The sequence below is a fragment of the Homo sapiens genome, chromosome 3 (assembly GCF_000001405.40).
Source record: "Homo sapiens chromosome 3, GRCh38.p14 Primary Assembly".
Lineage (NCBI taxonomy): Eukaryota > Metazoa > Chordata > Mammalia > Primates > Hominidae > Homo > Homo sapiens.
Genome location: NC_000003.12, coordinates 33,585,211 through 33,598,239, shown reverse-complemented (window position 1 = coordinate 33,598,239; position 13,029 = coordinate 33,585,211). Strand labels below are relative to the sequence as shown.

At 35.4% G+C, this 13,029-nt stretch overlaps 1 protein-coding gene across 81 annotated transcripts in view; it reads left to right on the top strand.

Moving 5' to 3' along the window:
- Positions 1 to 13,029, top strand: part of CLASP2 (cytoplasmic linker associated protein 2) — a 222,010-nt gene that overhangs the window by 120,015 nt on the left and 88,966 nt on the right. For 46 of the 81 annotated variants that reach the window (NM_001365632.1, XM_047447757.1, NM_001365631.1 and 43 more), the window contains 3 exons: positions 1,506 to 1,529; positions 3,272 to 3,289; positions 5,744 to 5,845. In NM_001365632.1, coding sequence (NP_001352561.1) covers positions 1,506 to 1,529; positions 3,272 to 3,289; positions 5,744 to 5,845 — 144 coding nt within the window. Of the gene's footprint in view, positions 1 to 1,505; positions 1,530 to 3,271; positions 3,290 to 5,743; positions 5,846 to 6,000; positions 6,028 to 9,508; positions 9,536 to 13,029 lie in introns of all 81 variants that reach the window. The other 35 variants (NM_001375713.1, NM_001400406.1, NM_001375705.1 and 32 more) reach the window with 4 other exon arrangements.

The following is a 13,029-nucleotide window of genomic DNA, read 5'->3' as shown; positions in this document are numbered from 1 at the left end:
AGTAGACACAAGAGGTGGGGCACTCATGGCTGACATTTGTTAGAGCAAAAGGATTTATTAGAGTGAAAAAAAAAAAAAGACCTGTGAGATAGTCTGAAGGAGTCTAGACGCAGGCTTTCAAAGTTTGTCTCCCAGAGCTAGGGTTGAGGGGCTACTCCTTCCTCAAGCAATGAAATAGAGCAATGTGGGCTGGGCACAGTGGCTCACACGTGTAATCCTAGCACTTTGGGAGGCCTGGGTGGGCAGATCACTTGAGGTTGGGAGTTTGAGATCAGCCTGGCCAACATGGTGAAACCTCGTCTCTACTAAAAATACAAAAATTAGCCAGGCGTGGTGGCACATGCCTCTAGTCCCAGCTACTCGGGAGGCTGAGGCACAAGAATCACTTGAACCTGGGAGGTGGAGGCTGCAGTGAGATGAGATTGTGCCATTGCACTCCAGCCTGGGTGACAGGGCGAGACTCTGTTAAAAAAAAAAAAAAAAGAAAGAAAAGAAAAGAAATACAGCAATGCAACATGTTCACAGTGTTTCTGCCCAAGGAAGCTAGCTTAAGACTCACGCTGGGGGGCCAGTAGGGGATTGGCACTCTGCTTGCACAGCCAGCCACAATTAGGCACATAAGGCACTCTGCTTGCACAACCAGCCACAATTACCAGAATCCCAGACTCCCAAAAAGAAAGGAGGTTTTCACCATAAACCACACTGTTTGCAGAAACAGCTTAGGCAAACTGTAGCAGAGTTCAGTGTCCCCACAACTTCTGCACACACACTTAAAATAACCTTATCATTAATACAGGGAGGATCCAAAACGATTACCAGAGGCCAGCCCCACAAGCATACACTTCTTAAGAACAATATCAGTCCTGCTATGTTAAATCCTTTTAGCACAGGCACTAAACACCAAGTCAGATATTTATTCCAGTTTCTAGTAGTGCCAGTATGCATGACTTCATGGTTGTGTAATTTTCTCTATGGGACATCTCAAGTAATAGAATAGAGAAAGTGAGTTAGATTCATCCAGATGTGAAATTTTAAAGGGGCTGAAAGTTCTAAGAAAGGATGTGGGTGGGGAAGCAACGAGGTGGTAAACAGAGGCTAATGATGAGAGGGCCTAAGTGTGGAATTTGGGGGTATATTATAGGCAAGAGAGAAAAGAAACAAGGCAATGTGACTGTCTGGGAAAAACTCACAGACTAGAGCAGGGGATTGGCATGATGGCAAAGTCCAAAGCTGGGACATGGGCCTCACTAACTTTTCTCTTTTTAGGCTAGTGAAATAGACTCATTATCAACTTTTAAAAAATTCTCTACTTAGTACATTAGGTGAAGTCTTTATCTCACATCTGGTTTAATTTCCTAGTCTGTTTTAGTTGAAAACAAGCTTGATATATACGTCTGTACTATGAATTCTGTCTTCTTAAAGAAAATGTTTTCTAGGAATTATAAAAATCATTTCTTCTAATATACTAAGTTTTCCTCTGTTCTTTGCTTGTGCTTTCATCAAAGAGGATACTTCTGACAAGCTGGATGGTAAGAACTTCCTTTCCTAATTCTACTAAAGATTTTTATGGAACCTGGATTCTATATAATATCCTTGTTCATTCTTCTCTTAATTTCTAAAAATATATTATTAATACTTATTTAGTGATAATGTTAATGTGAAAATGGCTACATAATTCTCTGAATGAATTTGGGGTTAGGGATATCTATTGGGCATACCATATCCCAGTCTGCTCAAATACTAGGTAACTATTTTGTTTTAACTTATAAAATGTTTGCCTGAGCTCTTAGAAGTTCGCCTCTGAATATTCTCGATTCGTTAAGTCTTAATAAAAAATATTGGATTCAGAAGAATGGAAAGAAATCTCCTAAGTCATTTCATTCACCTCTTTAGTCTATTAAGTGATATGACAAATGACATATTTCGTAAGTTCATATGATTGTTTTTGAAAATGAAATGCAAGTTACAGAGGCCGACTTTTTAAGAGTGCGTTGTAAACTAACATTTAGTCAAAATTGAACTTTAAACTTTGCCCTTTTAATTTCAATATTCAATTGATTACAGTTTATCTGTAGTGGCTTGGTTCAGTAACAACCCTGTATGATATTTTTTGTCTGATACTAGATAGTATATTATCCACACTTTCCCTTCACTTCAGCAGATACCATAATGTTACCTATGAGCTTGACCTTTTTTAAATAACTTAAGATACTAAACTAAATCTGTATGTCACATTATGAGATCTAGGAAAAACAGACACTATATATTTTTCTGTAAATTATTATGTAAATGGAAAATTGATCTAATATATCTTCTGTTTTAATGAGATAGAACATTTATTAAACCTTGGGTTAGGTACATGACTGCTAGTTATATTAGTGTCTGCTTTTCTATATGATTATAATAAAATATTGAATGAAATGATAGCCCATCAAGAGATGGTTTCTATGTATCAAACCCCTTAGACATCCTAATATTGATATTCTGGATCCTTTAAAAACGAACTTTTATCACTTTCCAGTTCAAAATATTTTCCTGTTTGGGTAGGAAATCTCAATCTATTTGAGAAGTCACTACTGTTATATGATGTGTTACTCTTACTGATGTTCAATCCTATGTTTAAAAAAAATACACAGACGTATATTATTGCGCTTTAGTAGTAGTGAGTTATGATGTTTGTACTTAGTCATTTTTTATAGATTTCATTGACATCTTAAGGAATGCACATAAATGTTGAATAAATAGCTAATGAATTGGATTGATAGGTTTTTGCTTTGTAGATGCTTTGATAAAAATGGGCAAGTGAGGCCTAGGTCATAGATTTTATTCCTATGTTTGTCAGTTAGCTTTTTCTGATTCCTTCATGGGCTACCTTTTGAAAATGCAGAGAAAACATTTCTACTCTGGAAAGGTCTATAAAATTTCATTTTCAAAGAGTAATTACAGAGTTACATTTTTTTGAGTGATGAGTTTCTCTAATTTTTTATACCATTTCAAATTTTAAGAATGCAATATAGCAGACAAAAAGTGTTTCCTATAGAATTTTGTTATTTTTATTTGTCTAGTTTCCGTGTGCTGTGAATCATTGGATTACCTCAAATTTTGTTTTTCTCAAAATGAACCTTCCCGCAGTTAATTTAAGGCTGTCAGACTAAAAGTTAATTTTTTGTTTTTACCCTTTCATTGTAGTGTTGGGTGGGGACTGTGAGGTAGGTCTTAATATCAACATTGGCAGAATTTGTTGAAATGTTGTTTTATTTTTCTTATTTAGGAACAGCATCTGAAGATGGTAAGAACTATACATTTTGTTAGTAACACAAATACATCTACATTACTATTTTCATTGGTAGGAATTAAATATTAGAACTAAAATAGGCTAATTTCTTTGCAACTCTTTATAATTTGCCAGTTGTAGTAAGTTCTACATTTCATATTTGGTTGTCTTAGTAATGTGTGGATTTTTTTTTTTTAATTCTTCATCCTGCTGGTTTGCTTTGTACTTTGGATCATCTCATGCTGGAAAAACATAATTGCTTAACATGTTTAATAATATCTAGTATGAAGTAAGCATATAATTCATTTTTTATAGTAGTGACATTAATGCTTTTCTTACATGTTTGTGTTTTTGTTTTTTTATTTATGCCAATTCATTTATACTTTGAGAGATCATGCACCATTGTTTTATCATTGAAGTTTTAAATGCATTTACTTAGTCTGCTTTTAAATATGTCTTCTACTTTTGAATCAGTAACTGGGGAGTTGGTCACAGATTCAAATTGAATTTGAGATTACACCAGAATTGCTATACATATCTTACTGAGCTAGTTCACCTTAAAAATAATTTTTATAGTTTTCAATTTGTAGAAAGGAAAGTAATTCAATGTTTATATTCACTCTACCTGAAGTCTGTCTTTTTAAAACCTCCGATTCAAAATATAAATTTTTTTCCTCTAAGTTTTACGTGGATGACTATTTTTTGTGACACAAAACCAAATAGATTAACTTTTTTATTTGGTCTCATATTTACTCTGATATATTTAAAATAATTTTGTATTTTAAGTTTTAAATTGGAATACTGTATAAAAACATGATTTCTGTCCAGGCATAGGGGTTCACACCTGAAATCCCAGCACTTTGAAAGGCTGAGCTAGGAGGATTGGTTGAATCCAGAAGTTTGAGACCAGCTTGGACGACATAGTGAGAACCCATCTCTACAAAAAATTTTAAATTTAGCTGGGTGTGGTGGCACCGTCCTATAGTCCCACCTATTCTGGAGGCTGAGGTGGGAGGACCACTTGAGCCTGGGAGATTGAGGCTACAGTGAGCCATGATCATGCCACCGCACTCCAGCCTGGGCAACAGAACAAGATTGTGTGTCAAGAAATAAATAAAAATAAAAACATGATTTCTCGCACTGTGGAATTGTAATTTCAAATGTTAATATCAAAATACTTAACATACTCTCATTTCTTTGTTATATACAATGTAGATAAATTCTCCATTTCAAAAATAATAATTTGGTCATTTTGTTTTACTTTTTAGTCAAGAGAACTTTGTGTCCTGCTCAAAATAGACTGTAAAAGGGTGAGAGGCCTGAACCATGGGCTCATTAGGGGCCTTGAAGTTGATAGTATGCTGGTATTCTACCAATTAAACTTCTGGTTTTGATTCTGTTTTATTCCTAGTTCTTATTACTCTCTTATCTTTTCTCACTCATTTCTTAATTTTGTAATATCTCCTTATTCTTTGAGTTTTTATTCTTATTATTTAGTATGTTTTTTCCTAATTAATATGGTCATATTGGGCTAGCCAGTATTTCATGTATACCCTACAAATTGTATCTTTTATCTAAAAATAATTCTGAGCCCTTCTTTTTGAATGACAAACCTTATTGGTTCTGATTTGATAGCAGTTGAGACTATTGCTTAAGAACACCAAAGTACCCACCAATAATATATTCTGTCCTCACTTATTTTTATTAACTGCAGCTAACTTAAGCACTTGACAGACATGCTGCTTGTAGTTCAAGAGCCCTAGAAATAGGGTGAGGATGTTTGTGGCCTAGTTTTGTGGAGGGGAATGAGGCAGAGTGGTAGAATAGAAAGGAGTGCAGTTCGGGAGGTATGAAAAGAAATATATTGAGAAAAATGCTAACTCTTATGTGATATGTATTTCCTCAAATCACTTTCTAAATGAAATAGTTGATTGGAGGAAGAGAGCAGTAAACATGTCCATATACCATATGTAGTAATCTGATATAAAGAGATTAAATCTTTTGCCTAATTATATCTCTTCCTTCAGATCCCTTTAGAAGTACATTTTCAGTCAAAAGGATGGTTTGAATTGTTTCCAAGCTTAGGCTTATATTTAAAACTGTAGGGTTGACTTGAGAATAATCTGAACTTCATGGAAACTGAAATTTCAGAATTGCAACTACCAATTGAGAAACAAGTGACATGCTTATGGTGATTATCTTAATTGTAACTGCTGGACTAATATATAAACTAAGAATGTAAATCTTTTAGTTTGATTCTTCTTATCCTTGAAGGAAAATTAGCTTATGGTATAACACGTAAAAAAAAAATTACTGTTTATAAAATTTTTAAGAGAAATAGAACCCGTAATTGATGATTACATTATTACAGAATTTGGCAGTACCTAAAAATAGTGAGATTTTCTCCTCTCATTATTAAACATTATTATAGAAAAATGTTTTTAATTATGTAAATATTTTATTTCTCAGGCCGGGTGAGAGCAAAACTTTCAGCACCACTTGCTGGCATGGGAAATGCCAAGGCAGATTCTAGAGGAAGAAGTCGAACAAAAATGGTGTCTCAATCACAGCGTATGTATTGCTTATCAGCCCTCCTATATTTGTCACTATGTTAGGATAAGTGTGTTGCTTTTGTATTACTGTATTAGACGATTGACCAGTGGATAAAGACAAAGCTAATTTAAAAAAAGACAAGCCACATACTGAGTTCTTGTTCTGTACTTTAGGTTCATCATCACCTGACAAAAATGAAGGTATTTTTTTCAATGTTTTGGATCAGTTGTTGTGCATGTTTTGGAATTTTTTGAGTGGGTGTTGTCTTGTCTTTGGTGTTTTATTAGGGCTGCATCATTGATATCTGCCACTTACAAAGAAAAACTTCATTTGCCATACAAACTTTTGCATGGAGATATTTTAAATAGCAGAAATCCTTAGCATTAAGGTGTTCACATTCTACTCAGAAACTTGCTAATGTAGAAAATTATGCTTTTTAGAGACGAAATAATTGCCATATATTAGCATCAAAATCTGGTTATATCTTAGGTAACATAATTCAAGGACAGATACATGATATCTTATTTTCCCAAAAATCTGTTAGATTATCTATTTTTGATTACCATTTTTGGCAGGTATATACTAATTTATAGTGAGGAAACATAATTTGAAATGACTGATTCTGTTTCATTCATGTTAAATTTAAGATTTACATTTTTGCTCTTTCACTGGAAGCTGAGTTTGTCATAAGCATGATTATTAAAAAGTACAATTTTGAGGTCTAGCTAAAATTAATTATTTCTATGTTTCAGAATAGTAAACATATTTATGGCATTTTTTAAAAGTATTTATTTATGAATGAGAGATGGGGTCTTACTCTGTTGCCTAGGCTGGAATAGAGCAGTGTGATAATAGCTCATTGCAGCCTCCAACTCCTGGGCTCAAGCAATCCTCCCACCTCAGCCTCTTGAGTGGCTGGTGCCACAGGCTTGCGCCACTGCCTGGCTAATTTTTTGTTTGTTTTAAGAGATGGGGTCTTGCTGTGTTGCCCAAACTGATCTTGTTCTTCTGGCCTCACGCAATCCTCCCACCTCGGCCTCCCAGAGTGCTGGGATTACAGGTGTGAGCCACCATTCCTGGCCTCATTTATGGCATTATTAATTTAAAATCATTTGTTCCTCTTCCTTCTTTATCAAGAGATTTTCATTAGTGCTTACCTCTGAAAACAGGACAGTTTTCTAGGGAAGTAATTGTAGGAGTTATTCATGTGCTTCACTATTTGTTTTTCTTTTTTTGAGACAGGATCTCACTCTTGTCACCCAGGCTATAGTGCAGTGGCACAATCACTGCCCACTGCAAGCCAGGAACTCCTGGGCTCAAGGGATCCTCCTACCTCAGCCTCTCAAGCAGCTGGGACTAGAGGTGCATGCCACCACTCCCGGCTAATTTTTTTTTATAGAGGTGGGTTCCCACTGTGTTGCCCAGGCTGGTCTCAAACTCCTGGGCTCAAGCCATACTCCTGCCTCTGCCTGCTAAAATGCTGGGATTATAGGTATGAGCCACTGCACCCAGCCTACTTGGCTATTTTTGAAAGAAATAAATTTAACTCTCTTCTGCCATTGTTTAGGTGATTTATTAGGATATGGATGTCCTATTTGTTTGTTTTTAACCTGATTCCTGAATTTTGAAATCAGGAAAGAGAATGGGGCATTGAGGGGCAGGATAGTGATTACGCAAGTCTTACCCACCAGATCCTTCTCTTTTTTCAAAGTCAGAAAATCCAGGCAGAATAATGATTAGAGCACCAAGAAGAGTCCTAAAAATAAGCGGAAGTAAATTGGTTTGCAACTTGAGGGTTATTTATGAATGGGAAAACTTTTATCTCAACTAAATCAGTAGATCATATCATATTCTTCCCTGATCTTGTATATTTTTAGAGTAACTTAATCTTTAGCAGTATATCATAGTAGTTAGAAGACGTGTGCTTCCATATGTGCTGCCCAGACCAGTATTAGCATCATCTGGGAGCTAGTTAGAAATATACAATCTCATATGCCATTACAGCTCTACTGAATCCAATCTTTAACAAGATCATCAAGTGATTTATATCACAGTTAAGTCTTGAGAAGTACATACTGGTTTAGATCATAGATACTGGAGTCTGCCCAGGTTTGAATACTGGCTCTTTGAGGTTATTTGAAGTTACTGCACTTCTATAATTTCATCTGTAAAATGAAGAGGAGAATAGCATCTACATAGGATTGTTGTGAGGATTAAATGATGTAGCATATTTAATAGACATAAAATATTGCTTAGCCCTGAATAAGCACTATATATGTTGGCTAATAAAATTGTCATTATTTTTTAATTTTTTAAAATTTAAAAAAATTTTAAATACTGCAGATGATCCTTATTATTTTTAATCAAATGTCAACTGAATTTTAGACTGCTTTTGTGTACTTCTGTACCTTGTTATTCTTACTGCCTTCAGTAAACAGAGAAATAAACAATGAAGTTAGGAAAATTGAAGCATAAAGATAACCAACCAGGAATTTCCATGTCCATTGTCTAAGGATAAAAATTAATTGTGAGATATTAGTTCTTTTCTGAAACAATACTGAGGCTGATCTTAGGGCAAAGACTCAAAGGGCTTTTTTTTAAAAATACTTAAGAGACCTCCTTTTCAGGTACATTGTAAGTAAGGATCACTTCACTGGAAAATAGAATAATTTTTTGCATTTGGCTTTTCACTTTGAAACCCATTCCATAATCCTCCACATCTTCTCCTAAATTGTGAAAACACAGTAATTGACTTTCTTAGACCAAATAGGACTTTAAGATTAGAAGACTTTCCCTCTGTAAAATCATTTGGGTTTTATATTGGAGGGACTTTTGTTTGTTTGCTTGCTTATTTATTTGAATGACTATATGTTCCATTCCGAATTCTTTTGTAAAAAAGGTATTATGTAATTTGTATGCAAGTTTCTTTACAATATATTTGCACAGAAATATTACTGTGATCATCATCCTTACTTTGTCATAAAGTAATTCATTAGGGCTTGCATGGTCTTACCATATCTTTGTATCACTACTTAGAAAAAAAAAGTCTCTCAGATCAAAGCAGGTGTGTTCTGATGGCTAACCAAAATAAATAAATAAATGGAGACTCAATGGAGAGAGCACTAGATCTATATTTATGACAAAATTGTGTCTCTTTTTCTGTTGGTAGTGGCTGGTTGTATACAAATGATTGTACAGCCCGTCAGAAACTTTGTCTCCTCTCCTCCCATCTTTTGTTTTTCTTGGTGCATCTTAAGAAAGATGACATTTGTAGCTTTTTCATGTAATTTTTCTTCAGCTGTACAATATTGTAGTTGTTCCTTATGAGTAGTTTTAAATTAAATGTTTAATGAAAACATTTAATGATTTTGATTTTCGACTGTCAGTAGTAGAAAAGCTGAAGAATTTACATTTACTGTTGCAGTCTCATTTCATCTGCTTTGTACATGAGTGTCTGATTTCAGTTGATTAGCTTTAAAAACAACTAAATGTACTGCTTTTGTTAAAGACATCTGTGCTTTTGGGATTTTTTAAAGTTTGCTTTTTTTGCCTTAGGGTTTTTTAATTTTCTGAGAACTGACTAAAGCTTTCTTATTTCCATCTGCCATCCATTTAAAAACTGCTCCTTCCCTCTTCATGGATTATAATCCTTACCCTAATTCTGCCTTTACACTTGTTCAGGATCACAATCTGCTAATACCATTGGTGGTAAGAATCTATAGACTTTATGTGTGCATCTGTTGTTTGATCACCTATTTTCATTATGAAGAATGGGTTCTATTCAGCAGAAATTCTTAACGTCATAGTCTATCATTTGTAGTCATACTGGGGCAGAAATTGCCAATTGTGATTTTTCTTTGGCCTTTGTCTTATTACCAAAATTTTGATTTTTTTTAAATGACACAAGTTAATACCGTGGATATAAACATTCAAAAGAAACAGGAGCTTTTGTCATGCTTTGAAATGCTATAAAAACTATAAAATGGTAGTTTGAAAACTTTAGGTAGCACAAGAGAAAATAGGTGTTCGATGTCAAGTTTTGCAAATATGGGTATTTTCTGGTAGCATGCTATTCCTTGGATACATCATGACACTTTTCAACAACTCTGGTTTTCCCAAAAGAAATAATTAGCGTTGGTGGCTCTTTACTGGGGAAGGAGCCTTGGTATTTTTTTCCAAGTATGAATAATTCCAAAGTGGGTCATAGGTACTAGAATTATCACACTCTTGGTGGGAATCAGGAGTATTGCAGAGGAGAGGGTTAATGATTAAAGCAAAATGAACACTGACAATTTTATTTCCTAGGATAGGGCAGGACTGAATTTAAATTTGTAGAGTGCGCTTGCATAATTTTAATAAATTCAGTAAATCTAGAGTAGAAAGAGAAGTTACTCTGTTTCTGAACTACAAGTTTCCTATCTGCTGAATAGACCCACATTTCAAGAAATTCTGCAGTCTCTCCTACCAACACTTCCACCCCCCAAATTTATATTGGTTTTAATAGAATACCATATTGTATGTGCTCAGTTCATTATTTATACTTTTTATATTGTTGCGAGTTTTCCCATAAAACATTCCATTGGCCTATCTTGCATTGTGAGTTGTGGCATGTTGGGTGTTTGGATGTTTTTGGTGTGTATGTTCAGTTTAGACACTGCATGGAGAAAACAGGTTCCTTATATGAGTATCCTTAAGGTTATAACTGAAAGAAATTGGATTTAAAGATTCTTTGCTTGAAACATCATGAAACATTCAAATGAGCTATTTTAAAATACACTTGAATAATTTCCTTACAATAATTTAGAATTCCTTCTATACAGACAGTAAATTGTTAATTTCATTGGAAACACTGCTTTGTTTTACAATATTGTTATCACTAATAGGAAATAAGTTTCATTTTGTATGCTGGTAAAGTTTAAGAATTAAGCATTAATATAAATTGTATTCAGCAAGACCATTCCAAGAAAACTGTAGTAAGAATCACAGATCGGCCGGGTGCGGTGGCTCACGCCTGTAATCCCAGCACTTTGGGAGGCCGAGGCAGGCGGATCATGAAGTCAGGAGATCGAGACCATCTGGCTAACACGATGAAACCCTGTCTCTACTAAAAATACAAAAAATTAGCTGGGCGTGGTGGCGGGTGCCTGTAGTCCCAGCTACACAGGAGGCTGAGGCAGGAGAATGGCGTGAACCTGGGTGGCAGAGCGTGCAGTGAGCCAAGATCACACCACTGCACTCCAGCCTGGGCGACAGAGCAAGACTCCGACTCAAAAAAAAAAGAAAGAAAAAAAAGAATCACAGATCGCCAGCCCATGGACCATGTCTAGTCTGTCTCCATTTATGTATTATTTGGCCTATAGAACATGCTAAAAATCTGGAAATATCAAAGCTTTCATTTTTGAAAAATCCCAAGACCTATCCACTATTACCTCAAGACAAAGGTGGCTAGAACTAAAAAGTCACCTCTCACTTTAGGAAAGGGCAGGCACCCCCCCTCTTGATCAGTCATCTTACTACTCCCTGCTTTACACAGTGCCCCTCTCTTTTTTGACATCCTGTGCTTGTCCCATTGGCATTTGAGTCTCTGTGGAAATGAAGCCTGATTGGGTAAGACTGTATAACATATAATCATACAGCCCTCTTACTGGGTAGAAGTAGTGCCCACGAAGGGAAAAGGTTGCTTTCATGAAGATTTATTTAATTGCAACTTTAGTTTTTCTGTTACTTTTCTGAATCTACATTTAGATTATATCTTGGAGTTCTTATCTAGTACTTTTTCTATTCAACGTAGACATAAAGTGCTTTGATTGACAGGGAGCTTATCTCCTTAAAATTTAACCCTTGCATTTCTAGTTTAAAAACATGTTTTTAAAACTTTTTTTAAACCCATGCACAGTCTCTGAAAAGATTTTACTAACTCTACCTGTGTTCCTGACCACATGTCCACCTTCCAAAACTGAAAATTACTCATTTGAAAAGAGGCCAGGCGTGGTGGCTCAGGCCTGTAATCCCAGCACTTTGGTAGGCCGAGGCAGGCAGATCACAAGGTCAGGAGTTCGAGACCAGCCTAGCCGACATGGTGAAATCCTGTCTCTACTAAAAATACAAAAATTAACCAGGTGCGATGGCAGGAGCCTATAATCCCACCTACTCAGGAATCTGAGGCAGGAGAATCACTTGAACCCGGGAGGCGGAAGTTGCAGTGAGCCGAGATCGCGCCACTGCACTCCAGCCTGGGTGACAGAGCAAGACTCTGTCTCGGGGGGGAAAAAAGAAAAGAAAGAAAAGGATCTGATTCATTTGATGTTTTCCCCTTACTCCCCTTCTACCCTTGGGACTTCTATAACCCAGAATGTCACTACCCAAGAGCGCTTTGCTATTTGAAGACAAATAGCAAAAAACAAGTTTCTTTTTCAGCTGGCCCAATTTTGTCAGCATTTAAAATTTAATTTTGTTAAGTTTAAAAATACGTCTAATAGTAAGACAGATAGCTTTGCTGTACCATTCAGAGAAATCTCAGCAGGCAAACTATTTTAAAATGAAACAGATTATCATTATTATATACTTAACAAAAAATAGTGATAGAATTACCGGGTTTTTTTTTAATACAGTCATGCTCTGCATAACCACATTTAATCAGTGACCACATATGTGACAGTAGTCCCGTAAAATTATAATACTGGGAAGGAGATGAGGAACAAAAGACTGCGTATTGGGTACAGTGTACATTGTTCGGGTGACAGGTGCACCAGAATCTCAGAAATCACCACTAGAGAAGTTATTCATGTCACCAAACACCACCTCTACCCCAAAAACCATTGGAAATAAAGCTTTAAAAAATTATAATACTATATTTTTACTGTACCTTTTCTGTGTTTAGGTATTTTTAGATACACAAATATTTACCATTGTGTTACAGTTGCCTACAGTATTGTTAATGGCATACTGTATAGGATTTGTAGCCTAGGAGCAATAAGCTATATACCATATAGATCTGTAGTAGGCTATACCATCTAGGTTTGTGTAAGTACACTCTATGATGTTCACACAATGATAAAATCACCCAACAACACGTTTCTCAGAATGTATCCCATTGTTAAGTGACATATGACTGTATATAGCTTATTCACGTAGAACATGATAGCCATATGAAATGGATTGTCAGATAAGTGATTTCTTTGGAAATCTTGTATACCATTTGT